This window comes from Homo sapiens, chromosome 10, assembly GCF_000001405.40.
Source record: "Homo sapiens chromosome 10, GRCh38.p14 Primary Assembly".
Classification (NCBI taxonomy): Eukaryota; Metazoa; Chordata; class Mammalia; order Primates; family Hominidae; genus Homo; species Homo sapiens.
This window is the reverse complement of record NC_000010.11, coordinates 3887690-3911579: the sequence shown is the minus strand read 5'-3', so window position 1 is coordinate 3911579 and position 23890 is coordinate 3887690. Positions and strand designations below refer to the sequence as shown.

Below are 23890 nucleotides of genomic sequence, written 5' to 3'. Positions count from 1 at the left end.
GAGGTTTGCAGTAACTCGCTTTGGGTTCTAAAAGACACAGTGGGCTCACTGTCCCCCTTTGGGTGTCCCTCTCTGCACAGATAAACCAGCGGCACGCGGAGGGCATGAGATAGAAGCCTGTCCACAAGGGAGGAATTATCTTTTACAGGCAATCTGGGAGCACCATTGAAAAATGCTCTTCTGTGATGAAATTATGAATGCTTTCACATCAAACAAAAATGTATTGTCTAAACCCTGGGTGAATATTGGATGTCATTTTTTTTTCTGCTCAGCATTTTGATATAACTATGCAATAATCTCCAAGTAATTTCATGTTTACATACACCAGGTGACACACGGCATATGTGAAATTATGGCACTTAGGAATATTAAAGGCATCTAATGCATAATGAAAACCGTATATTGAAGAATAATTTTTCTTCTACAGTTTTATAAGCAGTTGACAAAAAGCTGACAGGAGAAATTCTTCCAATAATGGAAGTACTCTCAGGTTTAATTCTCTTATAACAATTCTATTATGCATAAAGTAAGACGGAAGAAGTCATTGGCTTATGATCTAAAGGAAAGCATAATCGCAAAACTATTGCAATCAATGCTGTTGAAAATAATTCTGCAGATAAAAATTTAATAATTTTATATGAAGATACACTGAATTACAATTTTAGGTCAAGTTGATCTTTCAAAGACAGACTGACTACCTTTTTGAACAAAAAAGACTATGCCACGTGGTATAGTTTATGTCTACCCTTTGTCTAAGGAAGCAAAATACATTTGAACAATTATTTAATTGAATCTACTTAACATCATTGATTATTTACACCTAAAATAACTGCTAGCTAAATATCAGGATTTCTGTCTTAAAATTGTCCAGATCATTTCCTCAGATCTCCAAAATGTTTTGCTAATAATACATGCCTAAATAAATATACCTAATTAAGCAAAACAATGCGGATTTGGTTCATTAATCCTCTTCATCAACAAGGTCATTTATTAAACACCTATTTTGTGCTAGCCATTAAAGGAAGCTCGTGCTAATGAGCCTTTCTCCTGATAAAAAGTGAAGAGTTTGGAAGAGGCAGACCATGTTTTCCGCAGCCTAGGCCACACCACGTCACTTTTTTTTTTTTTTTTTGAGATGGAGTCTTGCTCTGTCCCCCAGGCTGGAGTGCAGTGGCATGATCTCGGCTCACTGCAAGCTCCGCCTCCCAGGTTCACGCCTTTCTCCTGCCTCAGCCTCTTGAGTAGCTGGGACTACCGACCCGCCACTATGCCTGGCTAATTTTTTGTATTTTCAGTAGAGACGGGGTTTCACCATGTTAGCCAGGATGGTCTCGATCTCCTGACCTCGTGATCCACCTGCCTTGGCCTCACAAAGTGCTGGGATTACAGGCGTTAGCCACTGCACCCGGCCTTCTTTTTTCTTGAGATGGAGTCTCACTCTGCTGGAGTGCAATGGCACGATCTCTGCTCACTGCAGCCTCTGCCTCCCTCCTCAGTAGCTGTGACTACAAGCAATTCAGCTGCGTCAGCCTTCCAAGTAGCTGGGACTGCAGGCGCATGCCACCATGCCTGGCTGATTTTTGTATTTTTTGTAGAGACGGGGTTTCATCATGTTGTCCAGGCTGGTCTCGAACTCCTGACTTCAAATGATCAGCCCGCCTCGGCCTCCCAAAGTGCTGGGATTACAGGCGTGAGCCAGCGTGACTGAGCCCACATCACTCTTTAAGCCTTGCTTCCTCTGCCCAGTTAGACAGCCCACCTCTGCCCACACAGCCCACCTTGTCTCAACTTCTATCCTTATTTGGTCCATTACATTTTCGGGTGCAAGTTCTGCTTCACAGGCAGCAAAATGTGCTAAAATCCTTCCAGGCACAGAGGGAACATCAGCTCCTTCATGAGCTCTTCCCTGATGTGGGTCATCCATGGTTCATTGTTTCGAGGAGCTTAAAAGACTGACATGTGTCCACGTGTGCTAAAAATGGAAACGCCTGAGCTACATGACATTTAAAGGAAACGGGCAGAAGCACGTGCAGGTTATTCTCCACCGTCACCGCCCAGCCCCGTTCTCTGCCTGCTTGGCCCTGGAAGGTGGCAGCTGAACGAGTTTGGCTTAGTGAAGACAGTAGAGATGTCTGGGAGGGAGGAGCGACTTCAGGTTTTCTTGCCCTGTGCCCTCCCTGCTTGGGCACCGCCTCATGGCGATAACAGGGTTCCTCCTGGGTTCCTCGAACCCGGTGGCCTTTCTCAGGGTGCTGTTTCTGGCTGGGCTCCTTCACTAACGCATGTCTTTACGTTGCCCTGGGTCCTGGGGTGCTGTGGCTCCCCATTTGCTGGTCTCTGGGGTCTCACTGTGTCTTTATCACGTCCACCAGCAGGAGACACTGGAGCCAGGTCTAGTGTATTGAGATATTTTTAAAGTAGTTTGAATGACATCTCATGATTTTTATTTGTTCTTAGAGGTCTTCCAAAAGGCAAAGAAAAAGAATACATTTTTTTTTTTTTTTTTTTTTGGCCAGGTGTGGTGGGCTCATGACTATGATCCTAGCACTTTGGGAGGCCAAGGCAGGCACATCGTTTGAGCCCAGGAGTTCAAGACCCACCTGAGCAACAGAGTGAAACCCTGTCTCTACGAATACTTTAAAAATGAGCCAGGCGTGGTGGCACTCACCAGTGGTCCCAGCTACTCAAGAAGTGGAGGTGAAAGGATCACTTAAGCCCAGTGGTCGAGACTGCAAAGAGCCATGATCATGCCATTGCACTCCAGCCTGGGCAACAGAGTGAGGCCCTGTTTCAAAAAAAAAAATACCATTTTTGTAACACAATAAAACATTTAATCTTTTCATTGTCATATAAGTCCATTGGATTCTGTTTTAAAAATTACCATTTTTATAACAGAACAAAATGTATTTAATCTTCTAATTGTCATATAAGTTCATTGAGTTCTGTTATAAAATCAAGATACATTACGGAATCTTTGAGGTCTTATTTTTCCCCTGTCTTAAAATGTTTCATTATTTTTTAATCTGAGGGATTATATCATTATCACTCATCCTTACTCAGCGATTATTCCCAATAATGCTAAAAAATACTAAAATAATGGGAGATGGAGGCGATATGGAAGGCCTACGAGGTGATGCAAATGCCAAACAAGTAATAGTTTCCAGTTTTCTTCTTCCAGTTTCCAAACGATTGCACAATCTTCCGAGAAGATTCGGAAAAAGACTGGCAGCAGCATCTTTGTGAAATGTCGTAGTTCTCATTGATCAGCGTTGAGAAATCAGAACTTTTTATTTTCTATTTTTTATTAATGACAAATCAGAAAACTAACAGTGGAAAACCATCCACACATATTAATCAGAAGATGGAGGCAAAGAGACGGAGATGAGTTCTCTAAACGCCAGTGAAGTCAGAATGGATGTGTAAGTGAAATCGCAGATGGTACACTTTCAGACGATGATACTCTAGATTAACTTTCTTCAGCCCAAGAATCCTTGAGTGATAGTTACCAGGGGCTGAAGAAAGAAGTAGGAGGAAATTTTGGGGGGTGATGGAAGTGTTTTATGAGTTGATTCTTAACATTTATTATTCTACCTATAACTTTGAAAAAAATTATATACATGAAATGGTTGAACTTTGTTGTGTGTGAAGCATGCCTCAATAAGACTGAAATTATTATTATCCATCACTGTATAACAAACTATCCCAGGACATAGTGGCTTAGAACAACATACCTTTATGATCTCAGCTTCTTTGGGTCCGAGATCTGGCACAGCTCGGCTGGAACCTTCCACAGGCTGCAGCCAGCAGCAGCTGGGCTGTGGTCACCACATAGCTCAGCCAGGAAGGGGTCACTTCCAAGCCACAGGGCTGTTGGCCAGACGTGGCTGCTCACAGGCTGTTGGTTGGAGGCCGCCCTCAGGTCCCTGCCTCTCCATGGAAGCTTTCTACACCACGGCAGCTTGCTTCATGAAGCACCAACTCAGGAGGGCAGTGGAGCCTGCTACCTGGGCAATCACGTTTTGTAACCTAATAATTGAAATGAGACCCCTCACTTTTGCTGAGTTCTGCTGGGGAGAACAAAGTCACTAAGTCCAGCCCCCTCTCCAGAGGCTAGGGTACCCAAGGCTGGTGTGAATATCAGGGGACGGGTGTTATCGGCAGCTGTTTAGAAGTCTGCCCACCACAAATATATCTCTAAGGACCACCAGGAACATTTTCTCTAATGAAAAGTTTACTTTTCACACCTGTAAATTACCTGTAGAAAAACTTTAAAATGTTTAAAATGTACAAATACAAAGGGTCTTTTGGACCCAGACAGCACATGACAATTATGTTTTCAGGTGTGCTGACACCTCACTCTGCTGAGAGTTAAGTCTGTGAGTTGTCTCCACCAAGAGCTCCTCGTTTGAATCACCCTGCGAGAACTTTGCTTCCTTCAAGAACCCTCATTCATAAAAACAATGCATAGAATTTGAACACGTTGGTATTTTTTTTTTTAAAAAAAAAAAAGGAACTCAGTTTAGAAAACACCAAAAAGAACAAAGATGTGCAGTGAGGCTGGTGCCGCGTCACAGTGGCTCCAAAAGAATTCCTGGAGAGGTTGAGCGTGCAGAGGTCATGGTGTTCCTGCCCCGCTGCTGTATTTGGTTATAAACAAGCCAAAGGAATTGCTCAGGACACTGGCAAGTGTTTCCCCCGATGTTGCTTCTGCTGTTGTTCATTCATTTCTTTCCAAACAAAATCGAGAAAGCTGAATGCACATTTTGGTAATCAAAAGTTGTGGAGAAATAGGGAGTCTAAACCCTCCCTCTGGAAGTGAAGAGCTTCAACGATAACATTTGGCCGGTTTGTTTTCTCGTGTTTACTCGGTCCGTTACCATAGGAATGTTTTCATATACAAACACTAAGCCTTGGCAGGCGAGGCCCCTTCGGGTACCTAAGACCCCATCTGCTGCACGCAGGGCCTGAGTCTTCCATGCTTTCTCTGTGATTCAGTTTTAACAACATTACAGCTCACGACTCATAAATGCCTTAGATGATTGTTTGTTCGTAACAACACAGATTTTAAGAGATAGCGAGACAGTCAGCCTGAACCCAGAAGAATAATTTACCTTCAGCTCGCATGTTCAGAAGTCACTGTGGAACTCCCAATAGGTGAAATCTTGTTAGATCTCTGAATTTTAAGGTAAATCATATCAACCTTCAGATTTGAGAGAGATATGTAAACTAATACCGATTTTTGTAAAAGGATCTGAGGGATGCCTCATGTTGATGATAGACTGGCTTGGGCCTAGAAAGCCTATGTAGTGATGGTGTTTTTAACTGTGATTTGAATTGGTTTCGTACTCCCCCTTCCTCCTCCCCTTTCCACCCCGTCCCCCACCCCGCCCAGCCCTCGTGTCACTAACTAGCTGTGTGACTTGCAGGCATATCTGACACTCTGTGAGCATCTGTCCCTTCTCTACATTATGGTGGTGTTTTCTCCATGGGCTTTTTGTAAATACTAAACCAGAGAAGAAATCACTGCAGCCTGTTGCCTGTTCTCACTTTTCTCCCCCTTCTTTTTTTCCCCTAATCTTGCCTAAGAGAATTAGGTTCATTAAAGAATAGTAATAAGGAAATTACCCTATTGTGGCCATTTTGGCCAAAGCTGTAAGGCCCTGAGGCTATAATGTTCTCAAAACAATTTCTGTTTTCAAGGTATGTGGTCACCTAATCACTTCAATCCCCACCGGGGCCATAACAGAAGATTGCCACTTTGCTAATTTTACAGATAAAGAATCTGAAGAGAAACGAAGACGGGCAATTTAGAAACACAGCTGTCACTACAAAATTGAATCTACTTGTGTCTAAAAGTAACTGTGTATTCAATGCTTGGGCTCAAATAATAAAAGAAAGAAAAAGAAAAGAGAACAGAAAACTAAAAAGTTGTTGCATAGATAAGTGAGTGTTATGGCTAATACATTTTTGTCAATAAGCTTAAAAAATTGAGAAAATTATGCTTAGAAAATTATGTTTCTTTTTTTTTTGAGACGTAGTCTCACTGTGTCGCCAAGCTGGAGTGCAGTGGTGTGGTCTCAGCTCACTGTGACCTCTGCCTCCTGGGTTCAAGGAATTCTCCTACCTCAGCCTCCTGAGTAGCTGGGATTACAGGCACCCGCCACCACATCCAGCTAATTTTTGTATTTTCGGTAGAGACAGGGTTTCAATCGCCAGGATGGTCTCGATCTCTTGACCTCGTGATCCACCCACCTCAGCCTCCCAAAGTGCTGGGATTACAGGTGTGAGCCACCGTGCCCGGACATTCCTTTTTTTTTATTTTTTTTTTATGAAATGGTTCATTTCAGAGAACCTCTGAACCTCTGACCTAAATTGTTGTGATATTATCATACTTTATCTAATGGTATGAACCCAACATAGGAGAGATGGATGATTATGACTTTGACTTGTGTTCTCCTGGACTCTGGAAAATGTCCTCCCTCCAGACCACCTAACTCAGATAACTGCAGTGTCCTCTTTGGTGACACTCCCTATTTCCCTAACCCCAACGTGGCAGAGTCGGCCACTTCTTCCCTTCAATCCCCTCAACCTCCTAGGCTTTGCTGTATGATAACTCAGTCAGAAACTCCTCTACTATTTTCTATTTTTCCTCTTTCTGGGCCTTCAAGAACCACATACGAATTTAGAATTAGTTTCTGAACCACACTGTTTGCTGGTAACTATCCAGGTGGAAAGATGAGGCCAGTATTTGTAGCGTCTCCCTCATGGTGGTCCATCTTTTCTCTTCAATTTCCTAAAACAACAACCTGAGCATGGAAATCCCCCAGTGATAAGGCTTCGGTGGTTCCTCATTATTTCAGAATTAAAGCCAAAGTCCTTATCAGACCTCTGGTCTGCCTCTCCTGCCCTCTCTGCCACTGCAAACCTTCTGCACCCGACATCCTTGCCCGATCAGCCTGCCTGTCCTTCCACAAGCACCTCCTCAAGTGCACTGTTGCTAAAGTGATTTGTTTGTTTAAAAAGCCTTATCCTTTAGTCTACACAATCCTTTAGGTTTATCCCTAATCCTACCTCAAGGGGTATTTTCAAATCAAAAGACCTCACTCTTTCTGTCCCCTCATACCAATAGAGCTTGCTTTATTGTTATAAACATATCTTAGCATACCTGGTATCAGAATTGTTTCCATCTGTGTCTTCCTCCAGGCTGATTTCTAGGACTGCCTAATTTACTCCCATGGGGCTTATGACAGTGTTTTGGACATGGCAAGAAATTAATAATTCTTGTCTGACTGTACTAATCTGATTACTGAATGTATTACTCTTAACCCCAATTTTTTTGGCCTGAGTTTGGGTCCATTGTCACAGGTATGCCTTGTTTTAGCCAACACTCAATGTGCCTTACCTCCTTATATCCAAATGCCTTGCAGTCACCTTTGCTTGGATATTTAATAGAGTTAAAGCGTCACCTGGTCCTCATCTAACTTTTGACATCCTCCCCAAATGCTGCCATATCTTCAGTCTTTCCCATCTCAGGAAATAGCCCAGGCTTTTATCTCATTACTCAGGTCACAAAATAAAGTCATCTATTTTTCTTCTCCCTCTCTTACCTTCATTAGCGTGTCCTATCAACAGTCATCTCAGGCGGGGCGTGGTGGTTCACACCTGTAATACCAACACTTTGGGAGGTCAAGGCAGGCAGATCACCTGAGGCCAAGAGTTCGAAACCAGCCTGGCCAACACAGTAAAACCCCATCTCTACCAAAAGTACAAAAATTAGCCAGGCATGGCGGTGGGCACCTGTAACCCCAGCTACTCTGGAGGCTGAAGTGGGAGCCCGGGAGGCAGAGGTTGCAGTGAGCCGAGATTGTTCCACTGCACTCCAGCCTAAGCCACAGAGAGATACCCTGCCTCAAATGAACAAACAAACAACAACACAAAAACAGTCATCAGAATATATCAATATATATATATATATATATCAGTATATCAATATGTCAATATATGTCAATAGAATGAGATATTATATTCTATATTAGATATTATAGCTATATTCTATTGATATATATCAATAGAATGAGATATATATTGTTCTGTATATATATCAATAGAATAAGATATATATTGATATTGATGTGTGTATATATATATATATCAATAGAATGAGATATAGAATATATCAATATATCTTGAATCTAACAGCTTCTCATGGCCTCGTCTGCGCCACCTGAGGGCAAGCCTCCATCACCTCTTATGTAGCGCACTGCAGTAGGGACCCCCAGCTGGTGCTCCTGCTTCCCTTCAAGTCCCCGTACTCCATCTGCTGCCTGGCAGCTACTGTACCCCTAAAGCGCCCCTGTCCTGAGTATCTCAGTGTGCTCACCCTCCCTGGCATGCGCTTGTTCTGCCATCCTTCACTGTCTCCCCTTCTCTCTAGATCCTCTCTTTCTCTCCCATCCTCACATACATGACTCCAACTCCACTTCCATTCTGGATCACACTGTGTCCCAGTGATCTCTGAACATCAACTACTTTGTATTAAAATCCCTTCATTTCTGCTTAGGAATCATATGCTATTTGGTTTCCTTGTTCTTTAGAAGTTATTTTCCACCAAGCTTGAACTGTCAGTAAAAGCTGACTCAGAGGCTAGACACTCATCCAGTGCTAGGAAATACAGGAGAAAAATATTTACAGTGAAGTGTTATTAATTATTTTACTCTATCAAAAACTGGTGTTCTGCCTTTTAAATATTAGGTTGGTGCAAAAGTAATTGTGGTTTTTGCCATTACTTTAAATGGCAAAAATTACTTTAAATGGCAAAAACCACAATTACTTTCAATGACTTTTGCACCAACATAAATACTTAGAAGTTAATTAGTGGCCAGGGAGCTGTCAGCACAAAAGGTCTGTGAAGCGACGTGGCACTGCCGTCACGAGAGCACCTCTTTCTACTTCTGTTTTGCTGTGAAACAAAAGAGGCCAAAGAGGAATCAAGAGGTGTAAACAGAAAAGGGACTTTCCGTGAGAGAATTTTTAGAAAAGGTTCTGTGAGGTCACCCTTGTTCTTGATGAAGGACCCCTGATGGCCCAGCCCTGAGCCTGCATCCCCTGGAAAGTGTGTGCAGAACCTCACAGACAGTACTGATGGTTTCTTGAATGTACTTGTGCTTATAATGATTGACGATATAGGTTGCCAAACAAAAAAAAAGTCCAGTTTGTTTCAACATATTCCTTGGATAGTATAATTCATTCTCAAATGAAGAACAGTACAACAAATCAACCACACAAACCTTTATGCATTGCTGTCAATTAATTCCAAAACAGTAGATGTCGCAAGACCATTTCTTTCAGGAGTATGATGCCCAGAGAGTGGCCAGGCTTCTGAGCGATATCCTAATAAGATGATGCCCTAACTCTTCACTGGGTCATGGGAGCAAACATTTCATTGGGTTGGTGTAAAAGTAATTGAGGTTAAAACCAACCACCATTTTTGGTACTTTTGCACCAAACCTGATACATAACTTTTAAAGTTATCCAAACTGTACACTATTCTTCGTAACTATTTTTTTGTGTGAAAATAAGCTAATTAAGAGGAAATCTAATAGAGCTGACACAGACTGCACTTTTACCCTGTCCTGTTAAAGGGAGTTGACTGCTAAGTCAGGACATCTAAATCAAGATCCCGCTTGGTAGTAGTGCACCTGAATCCTGTGTCCCAGCAGTACGTTGAACTGAAAGTGTGGTGCTGGACTCACAAATGTAAGAGCACACACAAGAGCTAATTGTAACAGACATGTATTGAATGTTGACAGCATTAATAAATCAAGGGGAAAATGTATACTTTCTCATATAATGTTTCATTACTTAAATTATTTTGAATGTATAAGTACATGTGTAGTCATTTGTTAATTTTCTTATGGAAAGGATCTGGTAGTGTAGTTTTTGTTTTGTTTTGTTTTGAGACAGGATCTTGCTATCACTCAGGCTGGAGCACAGTGACATAATCGTGGCCCCCTGCAGCCTCATCCTCCCAGATTCAAGGGATCTTCCCACCTCAGCTTCCTATGTAGCTGGGACCACAGGCATGTGCCGCCATGCCTGGCTAAGTTTTTGTACTTTTTGTAGAAACTGGGTCTCACTATGTTGCCCAGGCTGGTCCCAAACTCCTGGGCTCAAATGATCCACCCATGTTGGCCTCCCAAAATGCTGGGGTTACACCTGTGAGCCACTACACCCAGACTGGGAGTGTATATTTCTTTGATTCCCAACATAGAAACTGGCATATTGTTAAGAATATAATGAGAACTCAATATGTATTGGTTGATCTGACTAATAAGTCTCTATATAATTTGGTCATTACATGACTATTATAAATTTTATAAATTTCACATAGATGGATTTGAAATACATTCATTTAAATGTTTAGATTGTTTGGAGGTTCAGTGTTTCTAGGTGAAACACACTATTTTTCAAAGTTATGGCAGTGATGCCTTACACTCATATAGGGATATAATTTAAAATGTTTTTTTCCACACTATGTTCTCACATAATCACTTTTATAAAGTAGATTTTTTTTTGTTTTTTCTTCAACTTTTATTTTAGATACAGGGGAACATGTGCAGATTTGTTACACGGGTATATTACATGATGCTGAGGTCTGGGACACAAAAAATCCCGTCACCCACGGAATGAGCATAGAACACAGTATTTTTTGTGGTTTTTTTTTAGAGTCAGGGTCTCAATCTGTGCCCCAGGCTGGAATGCAGTGGTGCTATCATACCTCACTACAGCCTCCAAATCCTGGGCCCAAGCAATCCTCCTGCTTCAGCCTCTAGAATAGCTGACTACAGACATGTGCCTCCATACTCAGCTAATTTTTTTTATTTTTAGTAGAGATGAGGTCTTGCAGTGTTGCCCAGGCTGATTTCAAACACTTAGCTTCAATGAATCATCCCACCTGTACCTCCCAAACTGCTGAGATTACAGGCATGAGCCACCATGGCCTGCCAATGAAGTAGGTATTTTTAACCCCATTTTATAGATAAGAAACCGAAGGCTCAGCAAGTGTGAATACAATTTCCAAAGTTGTATATTTTATGTAAGAACAGTTAGCCCTTAAACCACATATCCTGACTTTTAGTTCAGTGGGTTTTTTAGTTAGTTTGTTTGTTTGAGACGGAGTCTCACTCTGTCACCCAGGCTGGCGTTCAGTGGCGTGATCTCAGTTCACTGCAGCCTCCCCTTCCCGGGTTCAAGGGATTCTCCTGCCTCAGCCTCCTGAGTAACTGGGACTACAGGCACCCACCACCACACCCAGCTAATTTTTGTATTTTTAGTAGGGACAGAGTTTCACCATGTTGGACAGGCTGGTCTTGAACTCCTGACCTCAAATGATGTACCCGCCTCAGCCTTCCAAAGTGCTGGGATAACAGGCGTGAGCCACCACGCCCGGCCTAGTTCAGTCGTCTTTACGCTGTGTCTTGGTTAAGTGCTTTTGATTCTTCATAAGCTAACTCTCATTCAGTTTTACAATTATTTTATTTAATTTTGCTTTTTCTTCCTAGTTTCCTAATTATCTTCAATTAAAAAAGTGCATAATAAAAAAAAAGTGTGTCAAAGTGCTACCATCTCATTGATCCTTTCTTTTTTTCTCTTTCTTTTCTTTTTCTTTCTTTCTTTTCTTTCTTTCTTTCTCCCTCCTTCCTTCCTTCCTTCCTTCTTTCTTTCTTTCTTTCTTTCTTTCTTTCTTTCTTTCTTTCTTTCTTTCTTTCTTTCTTTCTTTCCTTTCTTTCTTTCCTTTCTTTTCTTTCTTTTCCAAGGTCTCTCACTGTTGCCCAGGCTGGAGTGCAGGGTGTGGTCATGGCTCACTGCAGTCTCAACTCCCAGGCTCAAGCAATCCTCCTGCCTCAGCCTCCAGAGTAGCTGGGACCACAGGCATGTGCACCACTATGGCTGGCTACTTTTTGTATTTTTTTGTAAACACAGGGTTTTGCCATGTTGCCCAGGCTGGTCTCAAACTCCTGGGCTCAAGAAACCCTCTTGCTTCAGCCTCCCAAAGTGCTTAGATTGCAGGCATGAGCTGCCAGGCCCGGCCATCACTGACCCTTTCTAAAGGGCAGTATAAAGAGGTGGAATGAGCACAGTTTCAATCAAAGATCCAAGCATCAGCTTGGCTTTGCTGGGTCTTGGCTGTGAAGTTCTCTGGGCCTCAGCTTCCTTAAATGTAAAGAAGGAATAATAATAATAATAATAATAATAATAATAATAATAATAATATAATAGCCCTTACTTCCCAGGGTTGGAAAGATGATGAAATGAAACAGCTCTGGATAAAAGCATCCTAAAATTTATAGGTTTACACGTTTAGCAAATTGAACCTAATCCAAGAGCTCTACAAGGAGCCAAAACAGAATATGCCTAATCATGAAAAAAATGCAAGAAGAGCAAATATGTATCTAATGCCTCTTTCATGCCAGGTCCTGAGCAAGCAGAAAATAATGCAGACAAATGTCCTTACCTGCAGGGAGGTCACGTGGTACTCAACAAGCTGGGCATGAGGCAGCCGTGTCATGTCTCAGGCTGCTTCCTATGCCATGGCTGTAGATAAAGCACAGAGCTGCATAGCAGGGCCAGACAAGGGAAGCAGATGTCTGCAAAGACCTGGAGGTGTCTTCAAGGGGAGAACATTCCAGCCAGAGGCAAAGACTCTGAGGAAGAAATATTTAAAGAGGGCCGGGCGGGTGGCTCAAGCCTGTTATCCCAGCACTTTGGGAGGCCAAGGTGGGTGGATTAATTGAGGTCAGGAGTTTGAGACCAGCCCAGCCAACATGCTGAAACTCTGTCTCTACTAAAAATGCAAAAATTAGCCGTGCATGGTAGCGAGCACCCATAATCCCAGCTACTCAGGAGGCTGAGGCAGAAGAGTCACTTGAACCCGGGAGGTGGAGGTTGCAGTGAGCCGAGAAGATCACACCACTACACTCCAGCCTGGGCAACAGAGGGAGACCCTGTCCCCCCCCAAAAAAAAAAAAGCATACATATATATATATATAATATTTAAAGAGGGGCATGTAATAGGAGATCAAATCTGAGAAGTAACAATGGTGCATAGGGTGGGGACAGATTGTGCAGGGCTTCTAGGCAATACAAGCTCTGAGCAAAATGGGACATCCTTGAAGGATTTGGAGCTAGAAGCAACCTTTCCACTTTACTGTGATGTAATGGCTGAACTGTGGAGAACACACCTTAGCCTCCAAGATGACCCCCAGAGCCCCCATGTCTTGGTGCTCATGCCCAGGCATAATACCCTTTCTAATCTAGGACTCCTTTCTGCAAAGTAGGCAGATACTTGGAATGATAGCCTATTCTGTGACTTGAATTCTTTGATAGTGTTATTTGCTACCCAGATGAGTCAATATTCAAGTTCCCATAATTTATATGCATTATTTTAAATATGTGCCAACCCAATTTTCATATGTTACATTAGCTTTTCTCTTCCTTGATCACTGCAGTCTTCCGAAAGAAGTTTAGTCAACATTAATACAAATGGAAATCTCCTTTAAAAAAGAAATGGAACTTTTTCACACAGGCTTAAAAACATAATTAACAGTTGACTAGAGACTGTGGAAGAGTGATGTAAAGTTTCTCAAGTTCACGGATATTAGTGCAATGAGAGTACAGCCATCAGAAATCTGAAATGGAGGCTGGGTGCGGTGGCTCCTGCCTGTAATCCCAGCACTTTGGGAGGCCAAGGCGGGCGGATCATGAGGTCAGGAGTTCGAGACCAGCTTGGCCAACATGGCAAAACCCCATCTCTACTAAAAATACAAAAAATTAGCTGGGCACGGTGGCCTGCTCCTGTAGTCCCAGCTACTCAGGATGCTGAGGCAGAAGAATCACTTGAACCCTGGGGGCAGAGGTGGCAATGAGCCGAAATGGTGTCACTGCACTCCAGCCTAAGTGACTGAGCAAGACTCCATCAAAAAAAAAAAAAAAAAATCTGAAATAGAGAGCATGTAAAATAATAGGAGATCCAGGATTTGTGGCGCCTGATGCTTATATACCTTAAGGGTCTCATTTTATCAACAAGAATCCAAAATACAAATGTGAAAGTCATCATTTTTGGGGAAAGAGAAATCAAAATAAATTATGAATGTTATAAAGATGACAAATACCGTAAGCATCACAAATTCCAGAAGAATTACATAATACTTGATTCAGTCACTGCCCGGTGTATTTTGAACACAACTTTCCTATAGCTTTTAGTGACCCATTCTTTGAGTGCTTCTTTGTGTCAATGATTTTGTAACATCCTTTTCAAGAGATAGCAGAGAGATTATTCCGTTTTTCCCACAGTAGCTGTCATCCGAAACTAGTTTTTCGTAGCTTACAGAAGTAACTTTCAGCTTTACAGCTTCTTGTTGATAGTATCAGATAAATTTTTGAGGTTCCTGGTCGAATTTGGGAAAACTACCATCAACTTCTTTCACACATTAACTTTAAAAATGTCAGGGCATCTCATTATTTGTGTGTAATAACTAGTTGTAAATTACTGTTTAATCTTCCTATTTGAAACTTATCTTTTCTTTTCAGTAAATTGCTACTTTCAGTATGATCCTAAACCTTCTTGTACAATTTACTTCTCTGCGTGAGAATAACTTCTACAGATGTCGTTATTCCTATTGCTTCTGTTTCATGTTTTATTGATTTGTATCTGATCTTGCTCTCAGTTCTTTTGTAAATAACTTTTACTTTATTTTACTTTTGAGACTGAGTCTTACTCTGTGGCCCAGGCTGGCGTGCAATGGCATGATCATTGCAGCCTCAACCTCCTGCGCTCAGGTGATCCTCCTGTCTCAGCCTCCCTAGTAGCTGGGACCACAGGCATATGCCACCACACCCAGCTAATTTTTTAATTAATTTGTAGAGACGGAGTCTCCCTACATTGCCCAGGGTGGTCTCGAACTCCTTGGCTAAAGCAGTCCTCCCACCTTGGCCTCCCACCGAAGTTCTGATATTACAGGCATAAGCCAGCACACCTGGCCTGCATATAACTTTAAGGATGCCTAAAAACGGTATCATTTAAAGTCACAAATTTAGAAGTTTGGAATTTCTCACTTTATTGAAACATTCCACAATGGCTTTCTCAATTGCTACTAAAATGGCATAATCCCAGCTTAACTTCCTGTTAGGCCCCAAAAGCTCCCTGTAGCTTCCACCACCGGCTGCAGTGCGGGTAAGTCAAAGTGAAAAGAAACGGTGACCTTAGCCAGTGTGGTTACGTGACTTTTGAGAAATACATACAACGTATGACCATGTGAGCTCCTGAGGGAGGCCCCACAGCTGCTTTAGTTCCGTGGAAAATCCACCTCTGATTGAATGCATAGGTTGCCTTCCACAAAACACGGGAATATATAAACTGCAATTATCAGATTCTGCTATCTCGAGATGAAGAAGGTTAGAAAAACACCACCAATCTTCCCATTGGGACTCTAGACCTCCGCAACTTCTTTTTAAAAATCTATGGCCCGTCAGCCAGGCATGGTGGCTCACTCCTGGAATCGCAGCACTTTGAGAGGCTGAGGCAGGTGGATCACCTGAGGTCAGTAGTTCGACACCAGCCAGGCCAACATGGCAAAACTCCATCTCTACTAAAAATACAAAAAATTAGCTGGGCACGGTGGTGGGTGCCTGTAGTCCCAGCTAGTCAGGAGGCTGAGGCAGGAGAATCGCTCGAAACCAGGAGATGGAGGTTGCAGTGAGCTGAGTTCATGCCACTGCACTGCAACCTGGGCGACAGAGCGAGACTCCGTCTCAATAAAGAAAAATAAGAAAAAATAGTAAAATAAAATAAAATAATATCTATGGCCAGTCAAGTAAACTGCCACATTAGTCATCGGAAAAAGATAATTTATGAGGCACATAAGCAGCTTCAGAAACATTTTGCCTCAAACACTTTCCAAATGTGCATTATTTGTGGCTTAAAGCAAATGTATAATTTACTCATTCACTGATTCATCCATTTCTTTCCTTCTTTGTAATACTCTACATTAGGCCCTAGATACTGGCAATGGAGACAAACATGGGAGATGCTCTATTCCCTGAGCAGTCACGCTCCAGCCAAGGTGACAGGAAACTCAGAAGAGGACAGCAGCTCGTGGACGTCAGTGCCCTTAAGGAAATAAATAAAGCTCTGGCCATGCAGTCAGCTGGGCGGGGTGGGTGGGGGGGCGGGCCACCCTGAGGACAATTAGTCAAAGGATAAGATGTCTTAGCCACTGGTGAGAAGACAAATAAGACTAATGTAGCACAAGAATGATAAGCAGGGGCAGGAAAGGGAGAATAATAGCAGAGAACTTAGAGGAGGAACCAGTGTTAATAATCAGCATTTATGAAATAACAGATTTACCAGGTGATTCATCCAACATCACATGCTAGGAAAGGATACAGCCAGGATAGGAGCAAGACAGGCTGGCTGGAGAGCCATCTCACTACCTCCCAAAAATAACAGTAACAATAATAATAACAGAAAAGTCATAGTAGAGCTGAGATAAGCAAGGAGCGATGCAAACAGGACATGGAATAGCACGTTCCTCCCTAGACCACACACTCCAACTTTTTTTTTTCTTTTTTCTTTTTTTGTTTGTTTTTTGAGACGGAGTTTCACTCTTGTTGCCCAGGCTGGAGTGCAATGCCGCGATCTCGGCTCACTGTGACCTCCACCTCCCGGGTTCAAGCGATTCTCCTGCCTCAGCCTCCCACGTAGCTGGGACTACAGGTCAATGCCACCATGCCTGGCTAATTTTTGTATTTTTTCAGTAGAGACGGGGTTTCACAATGTTGGTCAGGGTGGCCTCAAACTCCTGGCCTCAAGTGATCTGCCCACCTCGGCCTCCCAAAGTGCTGGGATTACAGGCATGAGCCACCACACCCAGCCCAAAGTAGCTTTTTCTGCAGGGGAACTCAGAGGTTTATATATGAATCTGTCAATAATATCTGTACATATCACAATGGCAGAGGCTGGACCAGTCAACATTTTTTTTCTTTCTTTTTTTTTTAACTTGCTCGACCCGGCATATGGCTGAACCTTTTAGTGGATATATTACTGAAGGAGTAAATCTCCTCTAAGCACCTCTGTTTTGGATTCACAGTGAGACATACGTGCTTCGCTAGGAATGGCCTCTACGGGAGCCGAGGGAAGTGGCTGATGCAACCTTCCCTCCACCAGAAACAGATTCCAGCCCTCTCCGATCCCATCGCTGATCCCGTCTCCTCAATCCCACATCAATACTGAGGGCTTTGAGGAGAAGGGCTAAGTGAGAGAAAAGGCAGGGAGGGGCTCTTAGGAAAGTAAGAAATCAGATAAATGCCTAAGAGAAAAAGCAGAAAGAGAGAAAAGGGTAAACAGTCCATATACAGTGATAAACACTGAGAAGGTTAAACAACAGCTGAAAACCACATCACCCAGCTGTCTACAGGCAAGTTGACTTCATTTTCCTCTGTCTTTAGAATGTCAGGTTGCAACCACAAATTAGCCAATTTATATTTCCCCCTTTAGGATTTTCACTTCTAGTCCATCATGTTAAATGTAGTTCCACTGATGAACAAAGTCAGCCGTCCATTTTTTAAACTGAAATCTATTTTTGTCTAATTCACTGCAATTATAAAAAGTCCCAGTCAGGGAATTTCTTAACATTTAACCTCGATGTAAATACTTGTGGACGTGGCTTTCAACTAACTCTTCCCTTCATTTTCAAATCTTCTTACTGCGGTTCCTCACACAATTTGTTTTTTTAGGGGCTGTGATGTTCTCGTAGAAAACAGGGGGATAAGGGCTGGAATATGGGTCATAAGAACACTTTTCCCTGTGGACAGAGATCCATGACCAGATCGAATAAACCCAAGGGTCTTCAAGCCAAGAAAGGATTCCTGCAAAAAGTATTTTTTTTAATATTAAGCTAGAAATTGAAAAGAAAGTTCAAATGGATGACTTGATCTCTTCTGCAAGAGAATGGGTTGGTATAAATTCAGTTTCCGGGAGGACATATAAAAGCATTGATTAAGCTATTCCTTCCTCATGATTCTATTCAGAACCATTGTCCAGAAATGAATTAGATCACGAATTTGGTGGCTTGGGGACATCACACGAATTGCTTTTTTCTCCTTTATGGTAAATGATTTTACAAAATATGTTTTTTTTAAATATTTGAAACTCATCAATATATGTATATATTCTACTCTACAGAACCACCTTGAGAGTGTCACCATTGCTGTTTTACAGTGTCACACACAGCAGTCTCACACGACCAGAGAAAGCTTTCCAGTGTGTAAGTGATTGTCCTGGGAGAAAGCAGAAGTTGAAAGAAACACACCTTTTATAAATTGCTCCAGCCAAAATAACAGCGTCAGTTAACATATCAAATGGCATTTCTGAAATGTCAAAAAGAAGGGAAAATGTCTCGGGCACATGTAATTGAGAAGTAACGCCACACAGCAGAGGCCCTCAGAGGAAACCGTTGACACAGAAACAACTGAAGCCATCCCCGAGACGGCAGGGGTGGATGCCCCGGAGGGAACCTGGCACATCAGATCTGCTCCCACGCAGGGAGTGGTGGAGGGCAGGCTGCTGGAGGGCTGGAAATCAGAGCCCTCCACTCTGGGAAAGCAGCTCTCCTTCTCCTTAGGGCCCTGACAGGCCACTGAGGCACAGAAGGTGACAGGCAATTGAGAGCAAATTAACTGCAGCCACCTTTTGCTTGGAAACCTCACACCTTCACACAGATATAAAGATGTGGGCAACCAAAACAGGTCTCAGCTGAATACACATGCAGAGTAAGCCCTCCCAAGTCTAGCTTGTTATCATTATTTTAAACTGGCTAAAGAAAGGTAGTAACACTATAATCAGTTTGTTTTCACCACCAGTTAGCAACCAAATATAGAGCTATCCAGAAAAATATATGGAAAGGAAAATTTCTATTGTAATACCAACATGAACATCAAAAAGTAAGCACACTCCTTATCTCCCACCATCAAATCATGACTTGCCATGTGATGATTTATCAAGGAAGTGACAGCATTCATACCACTCTGTTACCATGAAAATATGCATGAAGTCAGAAGCATATATGGTAACAGTGGTATGAATGCTGTCCGTTCTCTGATAAATTATTGCAAAGATTCCCTAAACCCAGAAGCCACTCTCTATAGTAATTTTTCTTTTTGCCTTGTTATTAAATACTTATAATCTTTGTCTTTAAAAACATCTAGCTGGACACTTCCAGAAGGCTGGTTAGGTACCTATTCTTCTTTTCTTTTTATTTCTTTCTCTCTTTCTTTCTTTGTTTCTTTTTTTTGACAAGGTCTCGCTCTGTTGCCCAGGCTGAAGAACAGTGCTGCAATCTCGGCTCACTGCAACCTAACTCTGCTTCACGGGTTCAAGCGATTCTCATGCCTCAGCCTCCCAAGTAGCTGGGATTACAGACACACACCACCACATCTGGCTACATTTTGTATTTTTAATAGAGACAGGGTTTCACCATGTTGGCCAGGCTGCTCTTGAACTCCCGGCCTCACGTGACCTGCCTACCTTGGCTTCCCATGTGCTGGATTACAGGCATGAGCCACAAAACCCAGCCAGTGCCTATTTTTCTTGACAATAATACATATAGAACTGTTTGGACCAGAATTTATCAAGGAGTCAACATCTTAATGTAGAAAGAGGGTGAGGTTTGAAGCCAGAAGACCTGGGATCAAGTTGTGGGCTGTCAGTCCCAGGTCTTCTGGGTTCAAATCTCATCCTTTCAAATCACTGATTAACTTCAGGCAACTTACTGTCGTTAAACTTGAGTTTCCCATCTATAAACTAGAGATGATGAAACTTCCCTTTCTGAATTGTCTAAATAAGTTCTGAGATCTAAATAAGTTCATGCATTTGAAGAATGCTTTATAAAATGTAGATGGAATGATGTTTATGGGTAAGGTCCCCTGTTAGGTGTTAAAGGTGACGCCAATGATACCAGGTGGCTACTGGTAAAAGACAGGGCAAAGAATCTTATCTTACTGTGACACAGGTTAAGAAAATGTAATGCAATTTAATTGGATTATCTCTACAAAAACCCTCAAAGCTGTTACATGAAAGGGGTCCCGATTCAGACCCCAAGAGAGGGTTCTTGGATCTTGCACAAGAAAGAATTCAGGACAAGTCTACAGAGTAAAGTGAGAGCAAGTTTATTAAGAAAATCAAGGAATAGAAGAATGGCTACTCCATAGGCGGAGCAGCGGCGTGGGTGGCTCATCTAAGGATACTCGCTATCTTTTCATCACATGCTAAACAAGAGCTGGATTATTCCTGCGTTTTCCAGGGAAGGGGTGAGCAATTCCTGGAACTGAGGGCTCCTCCCCTTTTTAGACCCATATCCAGTAACTTCCGGATACTGCCATGGCATTTGTAAACTGCCATGGTGCTGGTGGGAGTGTCTCTTAGCATGCTAATGAATTATAATTAGCATATAATGAGCTGTGAAGATGACCAGAGGTCACTCTCACCGCCATTATGGCTTCGGTGGGTTTTGGCCGGCTTCTTTACTGTAACCTGTTTTATCAGGTTTATCGTGACCTGTATCTTGTGCCGACCTCCTATCTCATCCTGTGACTTAGAATGCCTAACCTCCTGGAATGCAGCCCAGTAGGTCTCAGCCTTATTTTATCCACTCTCTATTTAAGATGGAGTCGCCCTAGTTCAAACACCTCTGACAAAGCTACCATTTTATGAAGAAAATATGATGTTGAGTCGAGGTTGCAAACTCAAATGCTAACATGGGCCAAGAAGATTATGTACTGAGAAGTGAAGCTTGGGAGCGATAAACACAGGTGTAGAAGCATCCCAGTGACTGGCAAGTGGTAATCAGCCTCAGTGCAGGGCTGTAGGGAGTGCTGGAGACTGTGGCAAAGTGTAGTGAGAACTCAACTCTGGCCAGTTGTTCCAATCAAGGAAATTTGGATCTAGTCTTCCCAGATTTCCAGGGTTTTCAAGAAAAGATAGAAATCTAGATGTGTATGTAAAGTCCTCCAGTTTTGAACCTTGCCTTATATTATGAACCTGCCCCCCTCCCCCCAAAAAAAAGCACCATGTGGATTGATACTGTGTCCAGAAAACACAGGTGCAATCAGGTCCATTTGTCAGTAGCCTCCTCCTGAGGCAAGAGGACAACAGGCTGAGAGAGGAGGGTTTAGAAGTTGAGTAATTGTCTTATTGATGTCAAAATTCACTGAAATGGTTCATTAGCTCATGAGGACATTCGGAGGCTATCAAAGAAGGCCGGCATAAGGAAAGAGAAAGCTAAAGTCAAGGTCTGGTCATTTGTGGGAAATGGCCTCTGAGATCACCTGGCCTTGAATGAAACTTTTTTCCCCCTCTTCTTGCTAAACATTCCTGAGGACAGTATGCATCAAGATGAAAGCAAAACATTCCTCTCTGGCCAGAGTCTGTGACAAAAAAAGGATTGAGGGATGGATGGGTGCAGGGAGAGTGGGTGGGGGCAATTCTTTCTAATCGTATCAGCTGAGCATGGGACAGTGCACGGCACATTCAGAAAAAAACTTCCTGGAGAAATGTGAAGCCAGCAGGGTTCAACTCATTTCTGCTGTTTTTGCAGCAATATTTTTATGATGTTAGACAATAAAAAGAGACAATGTGTACAAAAATCAACACCACTTGTTTTTATAAAAAGCGATCGTCAAAACAAAGGTTGGCTTTGATCTTGGAAAGAAATACTCATTTGTTTATGTATCTGATGAGAATCTTAATTCCTTAAGCCAGGAGCTCTGAAATAACCAGAGCATTTAGAGCTGAATAAAACGACAGAAAAGTGAGTTTATCAACCCCTTTAATTTAACTTGTACGTAAGACAGGGGTGTAGGGGATGGGAGTGAAGGGCGTTACTAACAATTCATTAAGAGCTGCTACTCCCAACATATATTAAGAGACAGAATTATTAGTATTTTTCTAAATTACAAATAAAATATATACATATCAATTGGTTCAAAATAACTACTTCAGTTGAGACCACTAATACTGTAGTGATGTTTTTAACCTTCCACAGCTTCAGTAAGGTCATCTCTGGGTACAGAAGTAAAAAGAAATTGTTTTTCCGATTTCAGTTAGTTCGAAATAACTGCTTCAATTGAGGCCACTAATACTGTAGTGATTTTTTTTTTATCTTCCACAGCTTAAGTAAGGTCAGCTCTGGGTACAGAAGTAAAAAGGAAATTTTTTTCTGGGCACAGTGGCTCACACCTATAATCCCAGGACTTTGGGCGGCTTTGGGAGGCCAAAGTGGGAGAATCACTTGAGCCCAGGAGTTCCAGCCTGGGCAACACAGCGAAACACTATCTCTACAAAAAAACATAAAATAAAATAAAGCTAGTTGGCCGGGTGTGGTGGCTCACACCTGTAATCCCAGCACTTTGGGAGGCTGTGGTGGGTGGATCACGCAGTCAGAAGTTCGAGACCAGCCTGGCCAACATAGTGAATCCCTGTCTCTACTACAAATACAAAAAATTAGCCAGGCATGGTGGGGTGCACCTATAGTCCCAGCTACTCAGGAGGCTGAGGCAGGAGAATCGCTTGAACCCAGGAGGGTAGAGGTTGTAGTGAACCGAGATCTCACCACTGCACTCCAGCCTGGGCAACAGAGCAAGACTCCATCTCAAAAATAAATAAATAAAATAAATAAAGTTAGTCGCACATGGTGGTGTGTGTCTGTGGTCCCAGCTACTTGGTAGGCTGAGGTAGGAGGCTCGCCTGAGCCTGGAGAGTTCAAGGCTACAGTGAGCCATGATCGCACCACTGCACCTCAGCCTGGATGACAGAGTGAGACCCTGTCTCAGGAAAAAAAAAAAAAAAGAAAGAAACAAACAAACAAAAGAAAATTTGGATATTTGCTCCTGATGTAAAAAAGAAACTCAGCATTTCAGATTGCAAATATACATTTATAATTGCAAAAATAATACAAAGGAATAATTTTAGGGAAAAATACAATACATATATGTATATATGAGACCAAAGGGAACGCCTCTGGTCTTATGTCTGGGTAACTATGACATGAAGATAAGTGGCCTCCAAAACAGCTCTCTGCCCTGTGCTCTGACTCAATCATTCATTTAAGTTACACGAGTTTATGGAGAGATCAATGTGCCAGGCCCAATGATAAGCACAGCACAGAAGCTACAAACCAGGCCTTCAGGACCTTGTCCTCCGGGGGCTGTCCTCAGCTCCCTGTCTGACCCCTGCAGGTAAGGATCTCCTGATTTGGTTAATTCCTTGAGGAATGTCCCCTGAGGTTAAGAACAATGTGTATCCTCAGTGAGTAGCAGAGTGCCTTTGTACACAATGCCCATGTGATGAATTAGGTGAGTTAATAACATGAGGGGCTGGAACGAAGGAGGAACGGAATGCCTTGAGAAGTTTTAGAAAACTAGTTTGTGTCTGGGGCACCCTAAGCCTTGGAGGAAGCTGTGACTCAGTCCCAGAGCAGCGGTGATAGTAACTAACCCCAGACACTGACGTGCCAGGCTCCGTTTTGCCAGGAAATTCCCCTTAGTGAGAAGGACGGGTTTGTTCTCATTTATGGCTTTCTCCACCTCTCTTGAATGAACAGGAGTCTCAGGAAATGTCTGGGAACCGGAGACTATGGAAAATAAAATTTTTAAAATGTGAAACACAGCAAAGTTTTTTTTTTCTTTGTTTTGAGACAGAGTCTCGCTCTGTCTCCCAGGCTGGGGTGCAGTGGCCTCATCTCACCTCACTGCAGCCTCCATCTCCCAGGTTCAAGCGATTCTCGTGCTTCAGCCTCCCAAGTAGCTGGGACTACAAGGCATGAACCACGATGCCCGG

General features: G+C 42.6%; 7 annotated features.

Annotated features, from left to right (window-relative positions):
• Positions 1817-2036: a silencer, noted in NCBI's record as "fragment chr10:3951736-3951955 (GRCh37/hg19 assembly coordinates)". NCBI's record gives its function as "represses an EF-1alpha promoter that drives an FKBP-Casp9 reporter gene in an ReSE screen in HepG2 liver carcinoma cells {active_cell/tissue: HepG2}" and the evidence as "EXISTENCE:reporter gene assay evidence [ECO:0000049][PMID:32094911]".
• Positions 8402-9450: an enhancer, noted in NCBI's record as "amplified fragment containing the chr10:3944320-3945370 (GRCh37) CAGE-defined region". NCBI's record gives its function as "transcribed enhancer in B cells {active_cell/tissue: B cell}" and the evidence as "EXISTENCE:reporter gene assay evidence [ECO:0000049][PMID:24670763]".
• Positions 8890-9179: an enhancer, noted in NCBI's record as "active region_2917". NCBI's record gives its function as "activates an Ori minimal core promoter by ATAC-STARR-seq in GM12878 lymphoblastoid cells {active_cell/tissue: GM12878}" and the evidence as "EXISTENCE:reporter gene assay evidence [ECO:0000049][PMID:35858748]".
• Positions 16149-16320: a silencer, noted in NCBI's record as "fragment chr10:3937452-3937623 (GRCh37/hg19 assembly coordinates)". NCBI's record gives its function as "represses an EF-1alpha promoter that drives an FKBP-Casp9 reporter gene in an ReSE screen in K562 erythroleukemia cells {active_cell/tissue: K562}" and the evidence as "EXISTENCE:reporter gene assay evidence [ECO:0000049][PMID:32094911]".
• Positions 16786-17303: an enhancer, noted in NCBI's record as "H3K27ac-H3K4me1 hESC enhancer chr10:3936469-3936986 (GRCh37/hg19 assembly coordinates)". NCBI's record gives its function as "activates a minimal SCP1, AML or CMV promoter by ChIP-STARR-seq in primed H9 embryonic stem cells {active_cell/tissue: H9 hESC(primed)}" and the evidence as "EXISTENCE:reporter gene assay evidence [ECO:0000049][PMID:30033119]".
• Positions 16786-18406: a biological region, named in NCBI's record as "MED14-independent group 3 enhancer GRCh37_chr10:3935366-3936565".
• Positions 17207-18406: an enhancer, noted in NCBI's record as "MED14-independent group 3 enhancer chr10:3935366-3936565 (GRCh37/hg19 assembly coordinates)". NCBI's record gives its function as "activates an origin of replication core promoter dependent on BRD2, BRD4, P300/CBP and CDK7 cofactors, and independent of MED14, by STARR-seq in HCT116 cells {active_cell/tissue: HCT116}" and the evidence as "EXISTENCE:reporter gene assay evidence [ECO:0000049][PMID:35650434]".